Raw genomic sequence first — 26,859 nt, forward strand, 5'->3', positions numbered from 1 at the left:
GTGCCAGCAGCTAGCAGAAAGCAATATATTACTGATGCGCTAATCGGCAGCCTTTTTAGTTGTAAAAGAAATAAATGCAACCTCACACTGACTTAAGGCAAAAGGGGATCTGGTGACTCAAAGCCATCAAGAACCTGCCTGCTCATCTCTCCTCTCTGCTTTCCTCTCCATCAGCTCCTATCTCCAGCAGGATCTCCTGTGTCATGGCCCGATGCCCACCTGCAGCTCCAGGTTTACACACTTTCAGCCTAGCAACTTATCCATGACATAAATCTTCTCTTTCATGATAACTTCGAACAAAGGTGCCAGGCAGGGCTGCCACTGTCCATTCTAGGTCACATGACTATCACAAAATAACCAATCCCTGGTCACTGTAGCCAGAGACATAGTGCTCTGATTGCCAGGCCTAGGTCAGCTGGGGGCTCCTGGAGCTGGGAAGGGGGTTACTGAGAATGAAACAGGTAATCCTCTAAAAAAAATCAGGGTACTGCATCCAGAAGGGAAGGGATGCTGAGAAGGCAAAAATAAATGTTGACTACAACACTGAGTCACTCTTTTTCTTCTAAGATGTAAACATGTTTTCTACATAATTAAAAGAAAAAACAAAAAGAAAAAGCAGCACGTGTTCCTTCTCAACAGATGCACACTCCTGGGCTATCTCAACCGTCTCACGATTTCACCTTACAGCTGTCCCTCTTAGAGTTCTCCAAATCGTCCATGTAAGATAGAAAGAAACAAACAGCTTGCTGGTCATCCTCACCTGTATGATCAGCAGTCACTTCAAGCTGAACTCGCCCACAACAGACCTCGCCATATTTGCACTGAGCCTACTACTTCTCCTGGAGTCTCTATTTCAGCAAGTGCAACCGCCACTGCCATCATCATAGTGACCTCAAAATAACCAATCCCTGCCCTCATCTCATCTCCCACCTTCAGTGCCACCCATCCCATAGCAATCACCAAATCCTGCCAATTCTTCCTCCTAAATGTAGTGCTCCTCGAAGTTGTCCCTTCAGCTCCATCTTTAGTCCCACAGGTCAGGGTCCTCATCATGTCTCGTGTGGAGCCCGAAGGGATTCTAAGAGGCTCTTCTGGGCTGTGCCTTCTTCCCTCCTGAGTGGCTGCCAGAAGGATCCTCCCCTCACTCAAATCTGACCAGGCCATTCACCACTCTTCAACCTTGCAGGAGTTCTCCTTCATCTACCCCTGCGATTTCCTAATGAAACTTACATAGAAGCCCAGTGTATTAATTTCCAAGGGCTCCTGTAACAAATTACCACAAACTTCATGGCTTGAAGCAACACAAGTTAACTCTCTCAGCTTTCTGGAGGCCAGAAGTCCCAAATCAAAGTGTGGTCAGGGTTGGCTCCTTCTGGAGTCTCTGAAGGAGAGTCCGTTGCACCCCTCTCTCCTAGCTGCTGCTAGCTGTGGCAATCCTTGGTGTCCGTGGCTTGTAGGCACATCCCTTCACTCTGCCTACATCTTCACATGGCCTTCTCCACTGTGTTTCTCCTCAGGGTCTATATGTCTCAAATCTGCCTTATAAAAACACTAGTCATTGGATTTAGGATCCAATTAATCCACCCAGTTAATCCAAAATTATGTCTTGAGATCTTTAATTTAATTACATCTGCAAAGACCCTGTTTCCAAGTAAGGTCACATTGACAAGTACCAGGGATTAGAATTTGGGTGTATATTTTGGGGGAACACAATTTAACTAACGACACCCAATATATGCAATGATGGTTACAAGATAAATCCCAAGCCCTTGTAAATGTTTATTTTTGGAGATGGAGTGTCACTCTGTTGCCTAGGTTGGAGTGCAATGGTGGTCAGCTCACTGCAACCTCCACCTCCTGGATTCAAATGATTCTCCTGCCTCAGCCTCCCAAGTAGCTGGGATTACAGGTTCACACCACCACACCTGGTTAATTTTTTGTATTTTTAGTAGAGACGGGGTTTCACTATGTAGGCCAGACTGGTCTCGAACTCCTGACCTCAGGTGATCCACCCGTCTCGGCCTCCCAAGGTGCTGGGATTACAAGCGTCAGCCACCGCGCCCACCCCCTTGTAAATCTTGATCCCATGATTACTGTAACTTGGGCCCATCCTCCTTCAATCTAGCTCCCCTCCTTTGGCTGTCTCCATCATCACTGGCTCACATCCTGGCTTTGTGCCCCAGTCCTACCCAAGGCTATTTTCTACCCCTGTGTCTTTTCCCCTTCTGATACTTCTACCTGGGATGTGTTCCTGCCTTGCTCCCGTATCACCTGACTGTGAGCATTTTGGGACTAAGACACCAAAACAGAGGTCTTACTGGCAATCAAAAGCAAAACTTAACACTACAGCTTGAATCAGCTTTTGCAATGTTTAAGAAAAAATCTAACCAATTGCCATTTTTTTTAAACCTGCAGATTCATATAAAAAAATCGGTATTCCCAGCTTCTCTTTGGCAGCATTAGCCTGCTTTCTGGTGTTGTAGCATGAGTCCAGAGCTGCAAGTAGCAGGGCTGCTCACTTTGGCCTTCATGTATTCTGCAATTCACATCCAGTTTACCTCCAGGCCTCTGGCACTTACCCCCATTAGCATTGGGTCCTATAGGCCCTTGAGTTCATCCTCTGCCTTAAGATTTCTCTTCTAGACTGAGCTGCCTTCTCTACAGGGAAACCTTAGCTCACCCTGCCTCTCCACCCTCCCATTTGTTCTGGTCTTGCTTCACCACCTGCCTCAAGGGAGGCCACTTCAAACACACACAAAAATCTCCCTCATGACCTGGCACACTTTCGTGTTCTCTCCCTACCACTCGTTTTCACAATATACTAAATAGCCTATACATTATGTATTATACGTTAATTACAAAATTAATCCATAAACCACAGCATCAAGGCCAAAGCAGGGCACCACTGTCCATGCCCAAATGCCTGCATACCTTTCCCATTTCCAGGCTGTTGTAGCTCATCATTTTACCCTGGTGTTACCAATACTAAAATGGCATGGAGGTTGGGAAAAAAAATGGTAGGATTTATCTTACTCCATATATCCATCTAGCAATCCACCCATTCCTCACTTTCTACCTAAATTGCTGAAAAAACAGAAACTGGCAGCCAGCTACCCAGATAAATTTTCTTTTTTTTTTTTTTGAGACAGAATCTCTCTCTGTCGCCCAGGCTGGAGTGCAGTGGCGCTATCTTGGCTCACTGCAAGCTCCACCTCCCCGGTTCAAGCCATTCTCCTGCCTCAGCCTCCCGAGTAGTGGGGACTACAGGTGCCTGCCACCGCACCCAGCTAATTTTTTGTATTTTTAGCAGAGACGCGGTTTCACCGTGTTAGCCAGGATGGTTTCGATCTCCTGACCTCGTGATCTGCCCACCTCAGCCTCCCGAAGTGCTGGGATTACAGGCATGAGCCACCACCACACCCAGCCAATAAATTTTAATGGCAAGAGTAAATTAGGCCAGGCATGGTGGCTCACACCTGTAATCCCAGCACTTTGGGAGGTAGATCACCTGAGATCAGGAGGTTGAGACCAGCCTGGTCAACACGGCAAAACCCCATCTCTACTAAAATACAAAAAAATTAGCCAGCCGGGCATGGTGGTGTGTGCCTGTGATCCCAGCTACTCGGGAGGCTGAGGCAAGAGAATCACTTGAACCCAAGGGGCAGAGGTTGCAGTGAGCTGAGATCATACCACTGCACTCCAGCCTGGGCGACACAGCCAGACTCCATCTCACATAAATAAATAAATAGTACCTTCTTTATAAACCTGCTCTCTGGAGGCAGCTCAAGAGATAGCCAAACTCTCTCCAGGATTTTCACCAAAGCACATTGCCGAGCCCCTTGCTGAAGAAAGCCTACCCACACCTCCAGGATTTTCACCAAAGCACGTTGCCGAGCCCCTTGCTGAAGAAAGCCTACCTATACCCACAACACTCCTGGGTCTGTCCTTTGTTTTGACACAGCCAAGATAGGTTGTACATAGCAAGATAAAATGCCAGGATGGCGACATTTGTTCTGCCCAGCTTCCAAGCTTGCCCTCATGTGTCAGATGTCAGATTTCTAAGAATAACTGCTCGTTTTTCCAAAAATGAACCTCACACATTCATTGGAACTTCCTGTCCCCACCAAAGCATTCTTCATAACCAAGCAGACAAAAGAGAGTTGTTGGGAAATGATCTCGTGCTCAGAATCCATGTCAGCAAATGCCTTATGATCAGGAAGTTAGTGTTATTTAAGTGGGAGATGGTTCCTCTCTAAAACAATGGTGCCCAGAAAATAACTATAATCATGTTATTTTATTACTTTGCCGTTGTGCTTGTATATTTTTAACCACTGCATTGTGCTTTTTGCACCTATATTGTACTTTATTATACCCTGAAGGTATCACTTAAGTGTATATTTTCATTTTAGGGCATATGGTTTTCAGTTTTTCAACAATTGAAACAAGTTGGAGTTGTAGTAAAGTAATTTGAGAAGAGGCCAGTCTTGGAAGTCTGTATTTTTAAAGACTTTGAGTTTGGGAAAAAACATTTGTTTTACTTATTTACTGTGGTTAAAAAGACCATTACATTTGCTTGTTAATCAGTCATAATTTGAGAAAGGATAGTTTCTTTAGAGCCTCAGAAAATGGCCCTCTGGCCACCAACATATTTTCCATTTTGGCTCTGTAATAAAACAGTATTCAGTAAATGAAAGACATTGGCATTTGTTTGGATTTCTTTTTTGAACTTTTTATATAAAACACTTCTGTTCCATTAGGATAATCCTATTTGACTTGCTTCTCTCAGTCAAAGAAAAGGAAAAAACTATTATGAGAGAGCCAGGAACAAAGGATTTCCCACCCCTAGTCGGGCTTTTGATCCTCACATGGTCATAACAGGCCTCCGGCAGTAGCCAATAACTTCCGGCTTCAAAGGAGGGGAAGCAGGCTTAAAATGAACGCACCGTCCAGTGCTGCCATGAGGTTTGGGCTGGCAGATTGCTCTCCTGACCCCTGTGTACAATCACTTTCTGCCCTCTGTGATGGATACAATTACCACTGTTTTTACCTACAGAGAAACCCCCACTACTATTTTATGGCCAGTGAATTTGCCTGCCCGTGTCTAATACAGTCATGGTGTTGAACTCGACCATGTCGCACTAGGCTTATGTTAAGATAATCAAAGAATGTGGAGCACTGAGTCACTTTTGTTCTTTATAGAAAACACCAGAGCAGAAACCAACAGTTTGTCAAACAATTCACCATAGCAAGATTTTAATAAATGAGTCTTTTTGCTGATATGGCAATTATTTTACACAGAAAAAAGATATAAATTCCATGCTGTCCTGGATCTACACAAACAAGAAAAAACATTCATAATTCTGGAAATTTTCTAGTTCAGCAACTCCATCAACTTTCAATTAACCTCAGAAGCCAGGCCATTACTGCTGCCAGATTAGCTCGAGAACTCTCCAGGACCCTTTAATTCTTTACACCAGACCTTTTCCACATTTATTTATCTATTTCTTCTTTCCCTTCCACACCCCTGTTCTCTTCTCTGCCTCCTTCACTTTCTATTCCATTATACCCTTCTTAATCTACCACACCTCAGTGGTGATGGTGGGCAAAAATGGCTGCCATTATGTTATCAGCACGAACTAAGCTTACTTGGGAAGTCAGAAAACGGGATGCAATCCCCATAAACATGGAAAAGGCATATTGATTCTATGTCATCAAGCTCCACCTTTCCCATAGGTTGCACATGGCAAGATAAAATGCCAGGATGGGGACAATTTTTCTGCCCAGCTTCCAAGCTTGCCTTCATGTGCCATATGTCAGATTTCTAAGAATACTGTTCAGTTTTCCAAAAATGAACCTCACACATTCATAGGGCCACTCAAACTTCCTGCCCCCACCAAAGCATTCTTCATAACCAAACAGACAAAAGAGAGTTGTTGGGAAATGACCTCGTGCTCAGAATCCATGTCAGCAAATGCCTTATGATCAGGAAGTTAGTGTTATTTAAGAGTGAGATGGTTCCTCTCTAAAACAATGGTGCCCAGAAAATAACTATAATCATGTTATTTTATTGCTTTGCCGTTGTGCTTGTATTTTTAACCACTGCATTGTCCAAAGGAAATCCTTGCTCTTCTCTTTCGTGAGTTTTCTTTCTTTCTACCCACTTTCCCCCATCTTTGCTACCCTCCTTTCAAATATTTGCTCATACCATTTTCCCTTTATGGAATGCCCTCCCTGAATCTATTTATGTAAATCTACTCTTCACTTCAAAATACAACCTAATTGCTTCTCTTTTTCCGAGCATTCTATGATCAAAAGAGCAGGTCATGGACTTTTCTGCCTTGAATTCATGTGGCACTCACTGTCCAGAGCAAGATTTGTATTCATGCAACAGAGCTTCTTTAAGCACCTACTATATCCTTAACATAATGATAAGCCCTGCACTGTATGACATTTTCGAAATGAAAAAAATTTACTTTATCAAAGAAGAAAAGATGTCACATGACACAAATATCTATATGACAATGTAGAATATGATGAGTGTCATGAAAGATATATAATTTTAAAGCTCAAAAGAAGGAGACAGATGACTTCTCTCCAGGGAAACTGCTTCAAGGATTTGCTTGTTGTGCCAGTCTAGAAGGAATGCTGATCTCTATCACATTAGTATTTGTGGCCCTGGAGTCATCCCTCTTGCCTTTCATTGTTCGTTGCCTGGCATTGTTCACTTGCATTTTTAGATGCTTCTGTCTTGTCACTATAACTAGATATGAGCTTGAAATGAACTGAAATCTTGCCTTATATTTTATATGGTTCCCTCACTACCCTTTACCTAATAGTTACACAGTAAACATTTTTTAACCCAACAAACCCTTATTTAACCCCTACTGATTTCCTGACTCTGAGCACGGTAGTTAGGGATGGCAGCCAACTTCCACAGAGAGAGACCTGGCCAGGAACCATTCCACTATGGAGGTGAAGAATAAACAGGACTTTATAGATGAGTGATGGTTTACCAGATGGACAAGGAGAGAAGTATTCCCAATGCAAGAAGAGATTGTCCAAAGGCCTGAAAAACAAAGAAATAAGAAACAGAAGTTGAGGCAGGAGAGGTCTTTATTGGCCACACTAATATCTTACCCTAGAGCCTCTGACATCCACAAAAAATGCAGTATTATTGCAGTGAGATGAGATCGGGCCACTGCACTCCAGCCTGGGCAATAGAGTAAGACTCAGTCTCAAAGAAAAAAAAGAAAACAAAAAAGAAAAAGAAAAGCAGAATTAACTCAACCACTGTTCTTATTTTTATGTTAAATGTGGAATTTGTAACATTGTATTATAAATTATAAAACAGAACAAAAATTCTATTTTCAGGTTGTAGAATCCAGATGATTGTAGAATCGAACTGATGAGCTCGTCTAAATCTCTGTCTCCCTTAAATAAACAATTTGGTCAGTTAGCCCATCCTAGGGTCACCACTTCTCCAGATCATTAAAGAGAAATTAATTTAACAAACAGATGTCTTCTTATCAGGGACAATACAGTCGCTTCCTAAAGAAGCATTCCAAGTAAGATTCCTTTAGAGCAACCATACAAATTAGCACTGGCACTTGAAATTGTAAGTCAAGAAGCTTTTTTTGGTAAAAGTTCTATCCAATGGCTGCTTCCATGTGGCTTCTCTGAGATTTACCAGGATTTCCAGCAGGAAAGAAGCAACCGTAAGAAATTTGATCTTCATAGTTGGACTTCGTCATCACTTCGTCGCTGGCTACCCTTCCCCACTGCTATCCTTTCTTGAAAGTCAAAAGTTACTTTCTCATCCCAAAACCTTCTAGAGACTCTTGTCTTATGAATTATGAAAATTTATGTTACTGGGCAAGTACATATTTCATTTAAAATCCCCATCTCTATTTTAATAAATGCATTATTCCTAATATAATACCACATATTCTGGACATGTTTGTCTGGATCAGACTTATTTTTTTGCCAAAGGCTATAGGACAAGACACATTTAAAATTTAAGTAGGCCAGGTTTCAGAAGATGAAAGGGATTTGGTTTTAAAAGGTTACTAAGAAAGCTATTAGTAGGATAATTTCAAAGGCAGCTACTCCATGGGCATTTCTATATTTTTATTGGGTACAAATTGGACAAAGGAAAGCATTTAATTGACAAATTGGGGGGACTACAAATAAGTGTGAATTTTATGCTCAGCTAATAAGCATACAAAACAAATTATGTGAAAATTTAGTCAAAGAGAAGAATGGAATATAATTTCAAGAAACTCTCTAAGTGACTCAACGGATATTAATGACCACACCGAAAAGTGGGAAGTAAATGTAACATGTGGCAGAGCAGGGTTGGAGTCAGACACTCATACCATGGATAACTATTTGTCATTTTCCCAGTGACTCCATAGCTCTCCAAGCTCCTACATAGAAGAGATTTTCTGTGTGGAGTAGCAATGGCCATGTTTTCATCAACTCTAAAACAATCCAATTTGCATCTACCCTTCATGAAGAGGGTTGCCTATTCTCTAATAACAGAAGTTTCCCCCTTCTCTCCTTTTCTAAGTCCTGTGCCCAGGCTTAAAGCCACAGGAAAGAATCAACTGACACCACCACTCAGGCAATAGTTTCTAGAAAAATCTGACTCCTCCCTATGCCACGTGTCCTTTAAGGCAATCAGTGTGTCATGGAGATCTACAAAGGTCCTGGTTACTCATCACTCCTGCTCTTCCCTGAGCAGCCCCTTGCTCCTCTCACTTCACTTCCAAGACCTGTTAGCATCAGCCTGCTTGAGACTACTCCTGACAGCTGTGTATGGCACAGCTTCCTTCTCCACTACACCTGCCTTCCCGCATTACACCTCTCCAAGGCATTAGCTCACATCAACAATCACCAAGCAGATCTGCTCTGCTGCCAGCTATGCAGGGACAGGACTGAGTAGGAATCAATATATCCCACGACCAGCTAGAAGACAAAGCGAGATCAACATTTCTGCCCTTTGAGAGAGTCAGGACACTGGGAAAGAGAGACAAAGGGGCTGAGGGAGGGGGGTTGAATCAGTCTAGGCTCAGTAGGGTGCCCTTGTGGAGTGCCAGCCCTGAAGTTATTGCTCTTTCAAAGTCAGAGAAAAAAATAAAATGAGACAATTTGTTCAATTTAGTCCATCTTCTCCATAGGGAAGAGAAAAGTGGAACCAGCTTTGCCAACATGGCAAGTTTGGCCAGTAAACTGGGTTCTCCATGGCTTTGATCTGAAAGAACCTGTCTAGCCATGGTGTTGGCAGTTTTGTCACACTTAGAGCTAGAGAGCAATCACTGGGGCTGTCCTCAGGGCAGTGGCCTGGGCTACCATATTGGAAGCAACAGGATGGTCCATTGATTGTTTTAGCTGAGGTTTTATGCTGGGAACTTAATTACTAAGTACAAAAAGGAAGACTTCCTCAGCTCTCATGATCCACCATATGAGGGTGATTTGTTAGAAAAAAAAAAAAAAGACATTTAAGGACCTCTCTTTAGGGTCTCTTAGACCCACACCATCCTCCTCATCTAGGTGAGAGGCTCCATTCAGATGAATGGACTAAAGCCTAGGATTATAACCAATCATGTCCCTCAACTCTCCCTCCTCCTGTTCCTCACAACTTAATTAATGCCACAACCAACACCCCTGTTGCCTAATCCAGGAAACTCAAATCCTACTTTGTCTCTACAACTAGCACCTCCTGTTCAATCTATCACAAAATCCTATTGAGTCTTCCTTCTAAATGTCACTTGACTCTGTCCCTTTCTCCCTTTCCTTGTTTCAACCCTAGCTTGGGCCACCATCATCTCCAGTCCATTCTGCACAAGCCCAGAGAGGTATACTCTCAAAATGTAAACAGAATTATGTCATCCTCTTCCAGATTAAAATCTATCAATGCCTTTTCACTGGTTGTCATTAGGATAGTCTAAACTCCTAACTCTTGCCAACAAGGCTCTTCATGGTCCAACTTTTGCTAGTGTTTCTGATCACATCTCCTTGTATTTATATTTCATCCCTCCACACACCAGCCCACCTCACCCATACAAACACACAGGCAAACACATAATATGCTCCATAATTTAGCCATATTAAATATTCAGCTCTTTGAATGAACCACACTTTTTCCCTTAAGTTGCTGAATACTTTACCCTTACCTTGTAGAATACTCTTCCTCCTACTCATTCATTAGTACTCACCTTACAAGTCAGTTCCTCTGGGAAGCTTTCCCTGAACAACCGACTTCTATCTTCATAGTTGTTAGAGAAGTTTGGTGCAACATATAATTATGATGGCTGATTGCATTCAGATGCATTTAATTTTAGTAGCATCTGCTATTTGCATATTTACCTGGTAAGTAACCATGGAACACAAATGACCTTTTATTCTTGTCCCTTCTGTCCTCAGCATAATAACCCTCTTAAATAATTCTGCCTTCCTGGGAAGTGTGGTGTCCTATAAACTTTCGCTGTGCAAACTTAGGCACTTTACAGAGATGTGCAGCGACTGATTGAGAATTCTTTGTATAAAACATTTAATTGACTCGAATTGCAGAACAGAAGAGATGTGTATTTGATGGCAACTATCTACAAAAGGAGTAATACATTTACTACCAGATGATCATAATTGCACTTCACAAAAACTGGAAGATTTCACCATTATGTAGTTTTGTTGTTTTCAAAAGCCTCTTTGGTAAACACAGCCTCTGGCCTTGCGGTCTTCACTAGCTAGCTCCATTTGATTGCAATTGTTCATCTTCATTAGGAGCTTCACCTGTAATTGAGTGTATTCAAGAGAAAGCTTGGTAGGTATTTTAACACAACCTGCAGTTGCTTTTGTGCTCCAAATCAGAGATTCTATCCTGTTGATTTTGCTCATTCCTAAGTTATTTCTTTGACTTGGCCACTTGAATAAATTGTTATATTTGGATCCATCCTAAATGGAAGCCTGGTATTCAAGATATTATTTGATCAATATCTTAAGAGTTTAATGGCCTGCATTTATTCTCCTCCATTTCGGTTTTACAGGTGTGTTTTAAACTTCAAAGGCCTTCCAAGTAACTCAGATGTACTATAACTTATCCTATTATCTGAAAAAGATGGCCCACTCGCTGAGGTTTGGAAATATTTTGCGCTATAGAGACTCAAAGATACATGTTAGGCTCCTTCAAGATGCACAAAAGAGACTTGCTCGGGTTACTTGTAAAAGGTCATGGGATTTGTTGTACATGTTTATTAACCAGAGTTCTTTTTATCCTCTCTTCATTATGGTAGAGGCTCCCCTACCAACCTCACTCCCTGGACTCTCTTTCCCTCATTCAAATAGCAAGGCTCGTGGCATTCACTGCCTCGAGGGAGGGTTACTGCACTAAAAAGTAAAGAAAAATAAAGTCTGACTGGGTAGGGTTTCAAGGTTCTAGTATCCTGAGAGGAAGAGCCAGAAATTAAAGTACATGAAAAAGCAAAAGGAATAAGAACTACTGCCCCTTCCCCTGCATATACACCAAGATCACCTTGGCTTCCCAAGGGTGGGGAAAGAAGGGTGCTGAGGGAAGGAACCAAAGGAGAGGGACATGTACAGGTCTGCCATGAGAAGGGGCTTGGAGTGACCATGAGGCAGTAGTGACATCAGGTCCCTTGGGTTGCCTGGCCTCTCCTCCTTCAATATCCCCCGTATTGTCAGCAGCAAGCAGCTTCTAGGAACTGCTCACCTCTTCAGACTGTCTAGTCCTTACCCACAAGCAATGCAACCCCCTTCTCTAAAGAGCTGTGCTGCGTCTCCTTCCCACATTGCACCCCACAAAAACCTTGCTGTGAGAGCAGGCAGTACATCCTCAGTGAACCTCTGGGAGTACAGTGCCAATCTGGCCCAAGATATTGTCAGTCTCAACAACATACCCAGTTTCAATAAGCTTCAAAGAAGGACAGGGACTTGGATACCCCATGGGGAGCAAGTAGGATGGAAAGAAACATCCTTGCACTTGTACGCAGATACAAATGGGCTTAAACTTCCTCAAACCCCACCTCCTACTCACCCTCAGCCCCTCAGCCAGGAAATGGTAAAACACACTATTAGATAAGAATTCACAGGAAAGCCAGGAAGTCAGCAGATCAACCCAATTAAGCCCAGCCAAGCCTTACAGAGGCCAGAATTTCATTCAAGACACAATGCCACCAAAAGCAGCTACCAAACCATCTTATCCCCTCAGCAGCTAACTTCTGCTGTTGCCCTCTCAGGTGCTGCACGAGAGTGGGTGATGCAGCTACTCTCCCTGTGGCTGAGTCTCTAATTGGTCTCCCCCTGCTGTAACCAACTAATGCCAAGAGTCTGAAGTTCAAAGCCACTCAGGTGACAATGTGACAGGGTTGGCTGGTTAGCTCATCAAGAGCTGAACTGAACTCTCAGGCAACACTCCTTTTAGACCACAAGTCAGCCTATGAGTCAGCTGCCATTGGAGAGAACACCAGTTACTTGTCAAGTCCAGTGAAGCCAAACCCAGAAGAAGGACTGTGGTGTGGTGACTATTCTGAGACTTCACAGAAAGAAACAGAGTAACTGTCAGGTGCTTTACATGCCAGGCCAGGAAAGGATGTTAGGATTAAAATGCTGTCTACATTTCAGTTCCTAGGACCCAAAACCCAGGGCTGAAGTAATCCAGCGAATGTCATACAATTCACCCGGAAAAAAAAACAGATTCTATTGTAGAACTCAAAGTACACAATACACGTATAAATTGAGGGGCATACATAACACTTGCCAAGTTTGCCAAAATTCCAATGCTTTTTTTTCCTGATGTGTCCAGATAGAGATGTGGCAGCATTGACCACGCAGAAGGCACAACACCTGAAAAGCAGATGACTTGGTTCTCAAATGCAACCAAGAATGCATTAAGGAGGCCAAGGCAGGAAGATTGCTCGAACCCGGGAGTTCAAGATCAGCCTAAGCAACATAGTGAGTCCCTGTCTCTACAAAAGAAAAAAAAAAAAAAGCTGTGCATGGTAGTGTGCACATATGTAGTCCTAGCTACTTAAGAAAATGAGGTGGGAGGATTGCTTGAGCCCAGGAGTCCAGGAGGTTGGGGCTGCAGTGAGCCATGATGGCAATGCTGCACTCTAGCCTGAGCAACAGAGCAAGACCCTGTCTCAAAAAAAAAAAATGTATTAAGGAACAAGGGCTAACTCTCCTGGGCTAGAAGGTTTGTAAGTCCTTGAGCTTAACCAACAGTATCTCTTTCCCACAGGGTAGGAAGGAGAATACAAAGGCTGCAGCTGGTCCATGAGCCAAAATAACTAGTGTCTAGGCCCATATGCATTTGTGGCATGGGCTGAATACTGGAGGCCCCTGGACTTTGCAAAGTGCCTCATGTCTATGCAGTGCTGTCTTCAGTTGCCTTTTCTGTACTGGCAAAAGACTGGTTACATTCGTGCCCAAGAATATGAACTTGAACTATTCAAGATGTTTTACAACCATTTCTGTGATAACTCCATGAACACACACACAAAAGCCATAGATTCTGTAAAACTGCAGGCTGTACATAATAGGGCTTTGGGGGAAAATAGTGTTGGGACAAAATCTATGGAACTTTGTCATTAAAGCCCTAAGAAAAACAATAACAACTCTCACAAATATACAGGCACAGTTAACTTTCTATTGGCATTAGCACCCAACACCACAATCAGTTTATCATTTGCAATCTTAATCTGAAACTCCTGTTTCCTCCTCCTTACTGAAATAAGCTCTTGAAGGCATGATATGCTTCTAATAGAGACCAGTTTCATCAAAACCAAAAAATATATCCTTTGTTTTAATACAGAAAGAAATTTTTTTAGCTTTCTTATCTACACCCTCAGCTTCCTCAGATAGCTTAACACATTGAAAAATATAGTTCTTAAAGCCACCAAATCAGCCATGGTGTTAAAAATAGACCAAAGGAGTAGAATGGATTCATCTCTTTGCACTTTCTATTAAGATATGCATTAGGTCTCTCAAATTAAAACCAGAGCAGAAATTCTCCAAAGCTAGGAGCCAGAAATGCAGGTAAAATCCAGATAAAGGAATAAGCATCCGCAGAGCTTTTATCTCATTAAAATAAATAAAGAAAAAAGACAAGGATGAGGGAGGTGAAAGGAGATGGGATCATCTGGGTTCTAACAGTCACATAAACACTGATGGTGAGGAGGTGAAGATGAGGACTTTATTAAAGGAATAATGTTCTCACCATAAACTCAAACTCATTTCATGCTGTTTCTTGTCCTTGTTCCTTGTCAAACCACCTCCTATGCCTCTTTGGTACACAACCCCCTGTGAAAATGACTGATCTAGTCTAACCCATCAGGCACACATAGGTCAGCACCATGTGAGAAACTCCCTCGGGTGCTATCTCAGCACCAAGGAGAGCTCCAGGCCAATTGCGATGGTAGGCCATTTGTGCTTTTCCTTCTGAGCAACTAAGGAAAATCCAGTCCATCTCACTCCTTCACTTAGCTTTTGGTGTGGATGTACTCCAGGAGGATTTCAATTTTATATTTCAATAACTTATGTCATTCCTCTCCCAGATTAGGCATGCCCAGTCCCACTGCATTTCACCAGAATGCTGTTCCAAAATGTGGTCCGGGTCCAGGCTAGGGTAAAACATAAAAGAATTCAATTTAGAGGAACAATGAAAGTGTAATGTCTAACTGAGAATGGAAGTGATGGTGACCCATGTGTGCCCTGTGTATGTTTGTGTTAGTGTGTATGCATGTGTGAGTGTGAAGTCAATCCTCCACTCACAAAAGCCATTTTATGGGAATAAAACTGTTCATCTTTCATCCAACAATTTGAAATTGAGATATTATTAATTATACACTAGGCAGGTTTTCTCTCGGTTGAAAACCTGAGCAATTGAAATTATAATACAAGCACACCCACGTTAGCCTTCCATCTTACTCGTATTGACTCCTATTTATTTCTTCATGAGACTTGTTTTTTTCTTCCCTTCAAAAAAATAGAACTTGAAAATAAAATAATGGCATAACAGAAAGTAAGCTGTGATTTAGGTTGCCTTTTTATCTTCTTTTATTTCAAAAGAATGATCTGGAACAAAGAATACTTTTGTGAGGTAAAACAGATGATCCTCTAAGAGGACTGCACAGTCTGTGAGTATTATTGATTTTTCTTCCTAAGTCATTTCAGCGATACAATCTTGAGCTGAGTGACCATCGATAGTAAATGATTTCCAGCCAGACACTCAATTGTCAGACCTGCTTCTCTCAAAGGTTTAGCACTTCTGGTGAAAATACATACATGGATTTTGAAGCAGTAATAGTGTATGATAGAAGATGTCAACTTGAGAGAATTTTTACTTATTATAACAAGCCCTATGACTGGAATTACAAACAAGAAAGTGAAAAGGAAACCACAGTTTCTGCTAGTTTTTTAAAAAATTTTTTTCTTCAAGGCTTGGGAAATTACAATAAGTAACTAGATCTATTGCTTCCTAAACCTTAAAGCCAAAAAGGAACAATATTAAATCTCCCAAGATCAAGATCTCTTGTATCAAAGAATGTGTAATGAGACTACATGTCAACATCATGAGTGGCAGCACCACCACCTTGAGAGATCTGTGATGTAATGATGCATGGGCAATAGGGTTCAAGGGGCATTTTCTCCAATCCCTGGCAAGCTCCTGCTGAAGCTCCAACCTAAACCTTATTCAAGCTAAAATCTTTGAAGAATTCAACACCAATCTTTTTCTTGAGTCCTATAAAATGCTAAGAGTTTGACCATGAAATTCAAGTCTCAACACAGCTCTTGGAAACCCAGTAACAATAGTCCAAACCTTCATCCTTCAGGTTGAATGTATAATTTCCCAACCATACTTGTATTGACTCCTATTTATTTCTTCATAAGACTTGTTTTTTTCTCCCCGCTCAAAGAAAAAGAGACTTGAAAATAAAATAATGGCATAACAGAAAATAAGCTGTGATTTAGGTTGCCTTTTTATCTTCTTTTATTTCAAAAGAATGATCTGAAACAAGGAATACTTTTGTGAGGGAAAACAGATGATCTTCTAAGAGGACTTTCATTGGGGTTTCTCTATCTATCTATCTCTCTCTCTCCCTCCTTCCCACTTCCACCACTACCCCGTCATTACCTCAATCCTTCGGGCCAAGATAATTCTGCCCAAGCTTATGTAAGTCCTTGGAAAATCAGAGTGCCTGTGAGCTACACTGGATCCACCTAATGAAAAAATAACACTCAACTAGATAAAAATGGAGACACTTTAAGAACACAACTTGAGGTTCTAGTAGGTTCTCCCAAGATCTTCTGCAGAAAGAGTAGCATTTAAATGCTTAATCAAAGTCATTTAGCAGGGGGTAAGAAAACTCAACAGGATGCCCTGCCAATGTCATTTTCTCTGAAAACCCTACAGTGCTAAGCTCTGTCACCTGCATAAGTAGCATTTCCACTGGTTCATGGGCTTATAAATTTGGCCAACTAGGTGGTCAGGTTTTATCTTTGTTTACTGAAACCCACATCCACTCACCAAGTAGATATGCATTAAATTTGCCAGTTTCAAACCATTCATTATCTGCTATCTAGCTGATCAATTTGAATTACCACTAACTTCACTATAATTCTGTCTCTAATTATAATGATGCTGAAAGGCTTTGAAAATTGTCTTGACTTCTTTAGCACTAACAGCTTTAACTTCCCAAATCCCCATTGTGAAAGTCTGTCTCCCAGAAAAGGCCTATGGAAAATAAAGGAAAGATAGAAGCAATGAAATTGGACTTATTTTCAAAACTCAAGGACTGGTTTTGTTTGGAAAGTCTGTTTCTCTCTTTTCTGAAACAGAGAAGAGCCAAAAGACAAACAAACAAACAATCCGGCTGGTCAATTTATTGTAAACTGGAGGTAGTGTATAGAGATTGACAGAGGTGCTTGGCTGGAATGATGGACAACATGGAGGGGTGCTCAGGGATGCAATCAATATATTACCTCCAATATATTACCTCCTATTCCCATTTGTGGTAATTGTCATATAATAGCTTGTTTAAGTCTTCTCGCAGGCCTTAATTGCAGACTGGGTTCTCACCTTTGAACTATAATCCCCTAGTTTTAATTGTAAACAATAAATTGTCTTTCAAATGCTTTCGCTTCTCTTTGCCTCCATCCTCTCAAAACTGAATCTGCCTCAGCTTGACATCTAACAGAAGGTGTAGTGGTGAGAAGGAGAGAAGCCAGCGCAGACCTTGGAAGTCACCTCTGAGCTGAACTTCAGTGACTAAGAAACACCGATAGAAGGACCTAGAAAACGTGGCATCGACAAGCAGCAGCTAGTTCACCAAACCCTAGTGGCCAGTTTCACTCTGACCTAACTTTCTCTCCACCCTCATCCTCTCCTATATAAAGGCCTCTGGGGGAAGGCACTATTGGCCATTTAAACAATAAGTTTCTCAGAGCTTGTGCCAGATATTTCTTTTCAATTGCTTAAAGGCCTCGAGAAATAAACGTTACACCACTGAGGTCCCTCAACCTGTTCTCGTATGAGTCAAGAGCAGATCTCTCCCTCTGCTGGGTACCCTTCCTATTTATTCCTTTGTATATCATTCAGAGCCATTAATCAATCCAGCAGCAGCTCCTTCTCATAGGAGATGTGGGAAATGATAATGTTTTATGTGAACAATTAATCCTGTGGCAGATGTGGAGTTTCCAAGACTACTACCATTAGCACATTGACAGGCTTCCGAACACATCTTCCAGCACTGGTTAGTAATGATTTTAATATGCTAATACTATGTTACTCATAAACAAGAAACATTCAGGCCTTAAGTTTTACATAAGTGCTATTATTTGCAGAGGCTTTCTTTCCAGAGAAGACTGGTGATGAGGTTTTTATATTCTTAATGCTGCTGTTGAATAAACAGTGTCCAATTAACATACCAGCTGGAAGCACCCCATTCCTCAGTTCTGTTTCTTCCTATAATATTCAACATTTATTTGTAAAGCGAATAAAATAATTCAGAGTGAAACTAAGCCATTTGGGGAAGAGAAAACAGGAGTTCTGGGGTGGATTACTTTTCTAGCAATGTGGCTTTTGGTCTTGGATATTACAAAAATGACTAACAGAGCTACAAAAGAAAATGCAGGAAAAAATACTGGCTATATTTAATAATTTAAAAACATTTCTTAAAAATGCAAAGCTGGTGTATGCCCCGTACTCACTTTGTCTGGTGGCTGCTATGTATTTTGTCACAGGGTAAGCTTGTGGTCTTAGATTCGCTATTTATCCAGAGCTGACAAAGTCCACAGTCTGAAGCCTGCTTTATTATTTCTCCCTAGTTTAGGTAAGGTAATAATCCCCAGATAGTCACAGTACCTTCTGTCTACCTTTCTTCTTGTCACATTTTCTCCTTAAAGATGTTTTAGTATAATAATGAATTGCTATCCACAGTAAAGGTGCTTCATCATAATTTTGCTTCATGCTGAATTTGTAAACTGGCCACAGTCATTGACGGGCAGTCTGTAACAGCAATAAAACAGAGTTGCTACGGAACTGACTCAAGGTCAAACCCTCAGTGTTGGGAAGTACAAAAACACTGCCTCTCAGAGAATGCTGTTTCTTACTGTTTCATGTTTAACACGATAAAAGGAAAGGACACCAGGCATAAGAGAGACTTTTTGTAACCAAGAGTTTTTTTTTTAAATAAACATCTTAATCAAACAAATTGGGAAACAATTTTCCTGTGGCTTTAGACAGAGCCCCAAAAATGGAGGGCAGAGGGTACCTCAAGAAACTAAAGGAATGGATTCCAGCATGGTCAGCTCGTGACAGTCATTCCTGTTAGACTAGCACCTGCAGATGAGAGTTTTATTGGAAACTTCTCTTCAGCCCAATGTCCCACACAAACAAGAGGGTTTTGTTTGTTTGATTTGTTTAGGCTGCTATGTTATGTTCCATGAACAAAATGATCTTTTAGAAATATCATGGAGGCCAATCTTTTTTTTTTTTTTTGAGACAGTCTCTCTCTGTCGCCCAGGCTGGAGTGCAGTGGCGTGATGTTGGCTCACTGCAACCCTCTGCCTCCCAGGTTCAAGCAATTCTCCTGCCTCAGCCTGCTGAGTAGCTGGGATTATAGGCGCACACGACTATGCCTAGCTAATTTTTGTATTTTTAGTAAAGATGAGGTTTTGCCGTGTTGGCCAGGCTGGTCTCCAACTCCTGATCTCAAGTGATCTGCCTGCCTTAGCCTCCCAAAGTGCTGGGATTACAGGCGTGAGCCACCGCGCCTGGCCGAATCATTTAGATAAACTACAGAACAATGCTGCAGGCACAACACAAAGAAGAGCCCTACTCCTTCCCAGGGAAGCATCTAGGAGATAGTGTCACACAGGCAAGGTATTCCTTTCTGCTGACTGCAGATCATGGAAGATCCTCCTTTCTCTTAATACCTATTTCCTTTGTCTTTTAGTTCAAGGAAAGAGCACTAACATTTGATGAGTGTCTATGAGTATATTCCAAGGCCCAAGCACTCTCCATCCTGATTTAATCCTCAGAACAACCTATGAGACAGGAATCATTTGCTTCATTTCACATGAGCCACAGCAAGGAAAATTAAATTGTTCCAGGCCCAGAGATTCAAATCCAGTTTTGTCTGGCTCCAGACTCTGCTTTCATTATTTCCTCTTCTCATCTTCCCAGCACCAACTGTATTTCCTGGAAACTATTCTTGAGACTACAGTATGATAACATTACTCCTGCCTTGGAGGCAGTCAAAATTTAGCAACAATTTAGAAGTTTATTCTTGATATTATCAAAGAACATTTTCACCATGCAGAGTATTTGTAAAAGAGTCCATTTAAATCGAAGCCTTCATTGGTATAATCAAAATTTCAAAACTACAGTCAACTTAAAAGTTTGGATTTTTTTCACTCCTGTTTTTAATAATTCTTCTCCTGAACAAAGTGCATGCCTGTGTAATGAGATAATAGGAGCATTCCCTCAAAACAGGTGGAAATCTTCTGATCAAATTCATCAGTTTTAGTGACTTAACTATAAGTGTATCTCAAAGATTGAACTATTGCTACATGTTATACACCTAAAAGGAAGTAAGATGCCTGACTAATGATGAATTAGAATTACATTAGACCCTCTACACAGTTAGTTCATGCCTTTAAAAATTCTTTTCATTTCATTGGTCTCATGTGGATCCTGTGGGCTTATGTGAGACCTACAATCCTCTTCCTCTATCGGTCTATAAAAGGCAGGCGGCATCGTTTTTCAGTGCCATGGGCTTTAGAAAATGTACAGTCATGATCCCAAGATGATCTTTTTGAATTCTTTCAATCATCCTCTTCTTAGCACACTCAAATCTCCTTAGTATGCTGCTTCCTTAACTTAGCAAATGATGATTGTGAACCCACAATGTGCTAGCCAATGTGCTAAGAAACCGTGATAAATAAAGCTGACAAGGTACTTACCCTGGTAGAGTTTATATTCTGTTTTTTGTTTGTTTGTTTGTTTGTTTGTTTTTTAAGATAGGGTCTTGCCCTGTTGCCCAGGTTGGAGTACAGTAGTGTGATAATGACTCACTGTAGCCTCATCCTCTTGGACTCAAGTGATCCTCCTGCCTCAGCTTCCCAAGTAGCTGGGACTACAGGCACACACCACAATGCTCAGCTAATTTGTTTATTTTTTAAAGAGACAGGGTCTCCCTAGTTTGTCCAAGCTGGCCTTAAACTTCTGAACTCTAGCAATCCACCCACCTCAGCCTCCCAAAATGCTATAATTACAGGCGTGAGCCACTCGGCCCAGCCTAGTTTATGTTCTATATCGGCAAATATTTTTTAGTAAAGAGTAAGATAGTAAATATTTTAGGCTTTGTCGATCATACAGTCTCCAATGCAATGACTTTATTTTGCTATTGCAGCACAACAGCATCCATAGACAACAGATAATTTAGGAAGACAGTAGTGTTCCAATGAAAGGCTATTTATAAAAACAAGCAGTGGGCCAGACTTGGCCTGTGGACCATAACTTACTGATCCCTGTTCTATTAGATTCCATGTTGTTACTGGTCTCGCTTTTTATTATATGTATTATTAAAGTAAATCTGATATTATTTTCCATTAAACTTTTTATTTTGATATAATTATAGATTCATATTAAGTTGTAAAAAATAATATAGAGGAATTCTGTACACCTTTCCCCCAAGTGGTAATATCCTCAGAAATGATAGCATGGTATCACAACCAAAATATTGACATTGATGCAGGCAAGATACAAAATATTTCCAATACTACAAAAATCCCTCATGTTGACTTTCTATAGCCACACCCACTGCCCTCTCTACCTGCCCCTCCTTAACCCATGGCAACCACTAATCTCTATTTCTGTAATTCTATTTTTATAATTTCCTTCTCATCTCTATAACTTTAAAGGGTAAGAACACATTTTTTCTTACGATTTCTGTTAACATAGAACACAAAGTCACATCTTACTCTGTGTTAGATTCTAAAACTGATAAATGAGTTAAAACTTAATTGTATATAAGAAAACTTAACCTTAACAATTCTTAGAAAGGCACCACTTGGTAGATATACACACCAACTCACTCGAAACAGAGTAAAGCCAGCACTTTCTTCAGTGGTAGACCAGATGGCTTTGTCTCTGTTGTGGCACCTACTCATACTCAGATTATGTATCTTTAGTCACTGGAATTGCATTCAGCACATCAAGAAAAGAAACATGTGGGAACTGAGGCTACCAAAAAAACACAACAGTTTCAGGTTCCTATCTGAAGTACCTTATGCCTTATATGGTGCCCATTGAGTAGAATATCTTCTCCATCCTTCACTGTCTCCTTCTGTTCTTTAATGCAAAGCACATAATGCCTAGTATTAAATATATTGATCTCTTTGAATATCACCGGAGTTTTTACAATATTGTTCAGTGTCTTGGTAGAGCTCATCTAACTCAGTAGAAATAGCAAAACTGCTGTCTGCTTCTATGTAAGTTCCATCTATTGGGTTATACTACTTTAGCCAGCTGGTGTCTTACAACTGCATCTGTTACTTAAAAAAAAAATAAAAAATGCTCTTCCCTTTAGTAGACATTATATAGCTTTGTTATTGTAATTTTGGGCACACTGCATGAAGACTCTTATCTAAAATTGGATATTTGTTTTGTACATTAAGAAGACAAATAGGTTTGATTCTTGTTTTATTTATTTTTTATCTTCCATGCAGTACAGAATGCAAACATCCATAGAAAGAATCAATTCCCTCCAATACTAAGAGCTTTGTTGTCTCTTTTTTGACTTTCAAAGACCTTGGCTACTGTAAAACAAATCAGTTAAAAAAAAAACAAAGCATTATTCAAAGGGAGCACTCTGGTATGCTAAGTTTTCACCCAGAGGGAATTTTTACAGTGAAGTTACAACCCTCTTAAAATAGGGTTATAATAGAAAACATCAGTAGACAAACAGTAGTCACTTTAGAAGTTCTCTTTAATAGCAGTATAAGCATTGACTATTTCTTCCTGGGAAATATTTGAAATACCTAAATGTGTTCCATCTTTACTCAGCCATGCACCTTCTAAATAATTTCCTAGTACAAGTGGAGGTTTGTGACTAGGAGAACAGCATGGGCTGTCTGGAATGTTTCCTCAGATTTCTGCAGTAAGCTTATGCCCTTCACATCAGTCACTCTTAACATGAAAGAGACTTGATTTAACTTCTGCCCAGCAGTACACCCCTGGACTGTTATGAAATGGAAGCTTATATTCAATGCACGAGCTTGCGCCTTACAATCTCAGCTTTCCCCAGGGACAGCAAAGTCCTCCCTCCTTAGCCTTTGCCATGTTTGGTAGTTGTGGCTGTTTCAGCATACATCTCAGGCTGCCTTACAGAATCATTACTGGTGCACATGTCCATTTTTCCCATCAGATTCCAAGCTCTCAAGAACAAAAACATTATTCTCTACAGCATCCAGTACAGAGCTTGGCACATGGTAAGTGCTGAAACAGCATATGTGAGAAGAAAGCCCCTGAGAGATGTTTACTGCTCTAAGTGAAAAAGGTCTGGGATATCAGATTTGGGTAATACACAAGACTAGGGACACACTGATCCTGGGTAAACTACAACAACAACAACAATTTTTTAATGTAGTGTGGGGAATTAAGAAAAAAAAATTTTAAGAGATTGAAAGGAATAGAACAGGAGTAGCAAGCTGAAACTGAAGCCAGATAGGTGAACAATATCACCAAATCTGGAGTTAACCTAGAGTAAATTTCAACAGTAGTGGAGAACTTGGGTGGCTAAATGTTGTCACTGCTGCAAGCTGAGGGAGCTGAATCTGGGAAATATGCATTAGTATGGATCCTCCAAAACAGCTAAAGAGATCCCACGTTAGAAGCACCCCACTCCCGGCCGGGCGCGGTGGCTCACGCCTGTAATCCCAGCACTTTGGGAGGCCGAGGCGGGCGGATCACGAGGTCAGGAGATCGAGACCATCCCGGCTAAAACGGTGAAACCCCGTCTCTACTAAAAATACAAAAAAACTTAGCCGGGCGTAGTGGCGGGCGCCTGTAGTCCCAGCTACTTGGGAGGCTGAGGCAGGAGAATGGCGTGAACCCGGGAGGCGGAGCTTGCAGTGAGCCGAGATCCCGCCACTGCACTCCAGCCTGGGCGACAGAGCGAGACTCCGTCTCAAAAAAAAAAAAAAAAAAAAGAAGCACCCCACTCCCAGCTCCAAGAAGCAAACACAAATTCTCTCTGAAAGAAAGTATTGCCAATTCAGTCTCACATGATTCCTAGAGATTACGTTGAACAAAATAGGAGCTCACAACAGCAACAACAAACATTACCAACCACACAAGGAAATAAGCAGCTATAAGTGAATTCAGCGAAAACAAAAATCCATGAAGTTAGTGCCTTGATGATTTTACTACTGGAATAATTCTAAGATACAGAATATAAAATAGGTGTGACATATTTCTTAAAAATATATAATTTTGCAAAAACAACTTTTTATTTATCAAGCAAAAGACTTTACAAAATTATCAGAAAGAGTTAAATAAGAATCAAACCAACTTTCAAAAATAAAAGTTATAAGCATTTAAATTTAAACCTCAATTGAAGTATGAGACAGTCGATTATATACTGCTGAAGAAAAAATTAGATAATGGGGTAATAGATATTTAAAAGTTACTCACAATGCAGTGCAGAGAATAGAAAGTATGGAGAAGGCTTAGTGAGAAGACTAAAAATCAGTTAATGGAATTTTTAGAAGGAAAGAAGAGAAAGAATGGAGGAGAAGCAATATTTAAAAGGTAATGGTATGCTGGTCGTGGTGGCTCACGCCTGTAATCCCAGCACTTTGGGAGGCCAAGGCAGGTGGATCACCTGAGGTCAGGAGTTCGAGACCAGCCTGACCAACATAGTGAAACCCCATCTCTACTAAAAATACAAAAATTAGCCAGGCGTGGTGGTGGGCACCTGTAATCCCAGCAATTTAGGAGGCTGAGGCAGGAGAATCACTTGAACCCAGGAGGCGGAGGTTGCAGTGCAAGATTGCGCCATTGCACTCCAGCCTGGGCAACAACAGTGAAACTCTGTCTCAAAAAAAAAAATAGTGTTATAAAAGGTAATGGTTGATGATATTCCATGACTGATGAAACACAAGACTTTTCACACAGAGGATGCAAAACCCATATCAAACAGCACAGATAAAACCAAATCCACACTTAGTCACATTGTAGTCAAAGAGCAGAATATCAATGACGAAATAAAGAATTATAAGGCATGAAGAGGAAAATTGCAAATCACAGAGAAACAATTAAATGGGAAGCAAGATTCTCAAAAGCTGTAGTGAAAGCTGGAAGATAGTGAAAGAATGCCATCCGAATGCTAACGTATACAACCATCAACCTAAAACAGGATATTCAGCAAAATATCCTTTAAGAATGAGGATGAAATAAGGACGTGTTTAAATAAGCAAATACTGATATAGTCTACTCAGCAGACTTTCACCATTGAAACTTTTAAAAGATGTATTTCAGAAAATAAGAAAGCTGCCCAATACAGGAGAAGAAAATGAGAAAAACGAAAGTGGAAAACATGTATGTAAATTTAAGCAAACATTCTATACAATAATAATGATGCTAATGTCTGATGTTATTGGATTAAAAACTAAAATAATGAACAAAAATAAAAGGTATTTTGGAGAATGGTTCTCAGAATAACAAATGTTTTAAGTTTGTGTATGGTTTGGAAAGTCATTTAGATAAGACTAACTTTGGACTTCGGTTAAGTCTAAATAGTAGTGGTAGTCCAAATACACAGTAAAATTTAAAGTGTAGCCACTACAAAAATAGACAGTCATATTGTGTCTGGGGTTGGTTTTTTCTGGTGAGTTCTTGGTCTCTCTGACTTCCAGAATGAAGCCGTGTACCTTTGCAGTGAGTGTTGCAGCTCTTAAACGTGGCACGGACCCAAAGAATGACCGGCAGCAAGATTTACTGTGAAAAGCAAAAGAACAAAGCTTCCACAAAGTGGAAGGTGACCCAAGCCGGTTGCCGCTGCTGGCTGTGGTGGCCAGCTTTTATTGCCTTATTTGTCCCCGCTCACATCCTGCTGATTGGTCCATTTTACAGAGCGCTGATTGGTCCATTTTACAGAGTGTTGATTGGTCCATTTTACAAACCTCTAGCCAGCCATCAAGTGCTGATTGGTGCGTTTTTACAGAGCACTGATTGGCACATTTTATAAACCTCTAGCTAGCCACAGAGTGCTGGTTGGTGCGTTTTACAATCCTAGCTACAGAGTGTTGATTGGTGCATTTTGCAATCCTCCTACAAGACAGAAAAGTTCTCCAAGTCCCCACCTGACCCAAAAGTCCAGCTGGCTTCACCTCTTAATATTATCCAAATAACTAGAAGGAAAAATAGAATAAGAAAATAAACAAACTCAAATTTATACACACAGAAAAGTCATGATATAGAAAACTACAAAGTAACACAGAAAACACAAATTTAAACGTATTACTAATAAAAATAAATGTAAATGATTTCAGTTGTCCAGCCAAGGAATAGAGATAATCAGATTGGGTGGGAAAGCATCTGGCTATATGCTAGTTACAAAATAAAGTTTAAAAATGAGTACATGGCAAGATTGAAAGTAAAACGATGAAAATTGATCAAGTTGAAAGTAAAAGGAGAAAAAAATATAAGATTAAAATGAACCAATGAAAACAGGGTTAAATATATTAATTCAGAAAAAAATGACCTTAAGAGGCACACATGTTTTTCAAACAAAATGTGTCACCGTGGTAAAGGTTCTTCTCAACAGAAACATGTAAAAATTTAAAATGTTTATGCACCAAATAGGGACTCAAAAAGTACAAAACAATAAAGTGATAAAATTACAGATAAAAAGTAACAAATCCATCATTATAGTGGAACATTTCAGTATGTATCTCTCCATAATTGATGGCTCAAGCTTTCAAAAGAGTGGTAAATATGTGAAATTTTAAATCACAGTCAACATGCTTGACTTAAAAGATGTAAATAGGGGCTGGGCGCGGTGGCTCACGCCTGTAATCCCAGCACTTTGGGAGGCCGACACAGGTGGATCACCAGGTTAGGAGTTCGAGACCATCCTGGCCAACATGGTGAAACCCCGTCTCTACTAAAAATACAAAAAAAAAAAAAAAATTAGCTGGGTGTGGTGGCAGGCGCCTGTAATCCCAGCTACTCAGGAGGCTGAGGCAGGAGTATCACTTGAACCAGGGAGTTGGAGGTTGCAGTGAGCCAAGATCGCACCACTGCGCTGCAGCCTGGCAACAGAGTGAGACTCC

At 40.8% G+C, this 26,859-nt stretch overlaps 1 annotated feature.

Annotated features, from left to right (window-relative positions):
• Nucleotides 22,074-22,962: an enhancer, noted in NCBI's record as "NANOG hESC enhancer chr5:123890213-123891101 (GRCh37/hg19 assembly coordinates)". NCBI's record gives its function as "activates a minimal SCP1, AML or CMV promoter by ChIP-STARR-seq in naive H9 embryonic stem cells {active_cell/tissue: H9 hESC(naive)}" and the evidence as "EXISTENCE:reporter gene assay evidence [ECO:0000049][PMID:30033119]".

This window comes from Homo sapiens, chromosome 5 (genome assembly GCF_000001405.40).
Source record: "Homo sapiens chromosome 5, GRCh38.p14 Primary Assembly".
NCBI classification, from domain to species: Eukaryota; Metazoa; Chordata; class Mammalia; order Primates; family Hominidae; genus Homo; species Homo sapiens.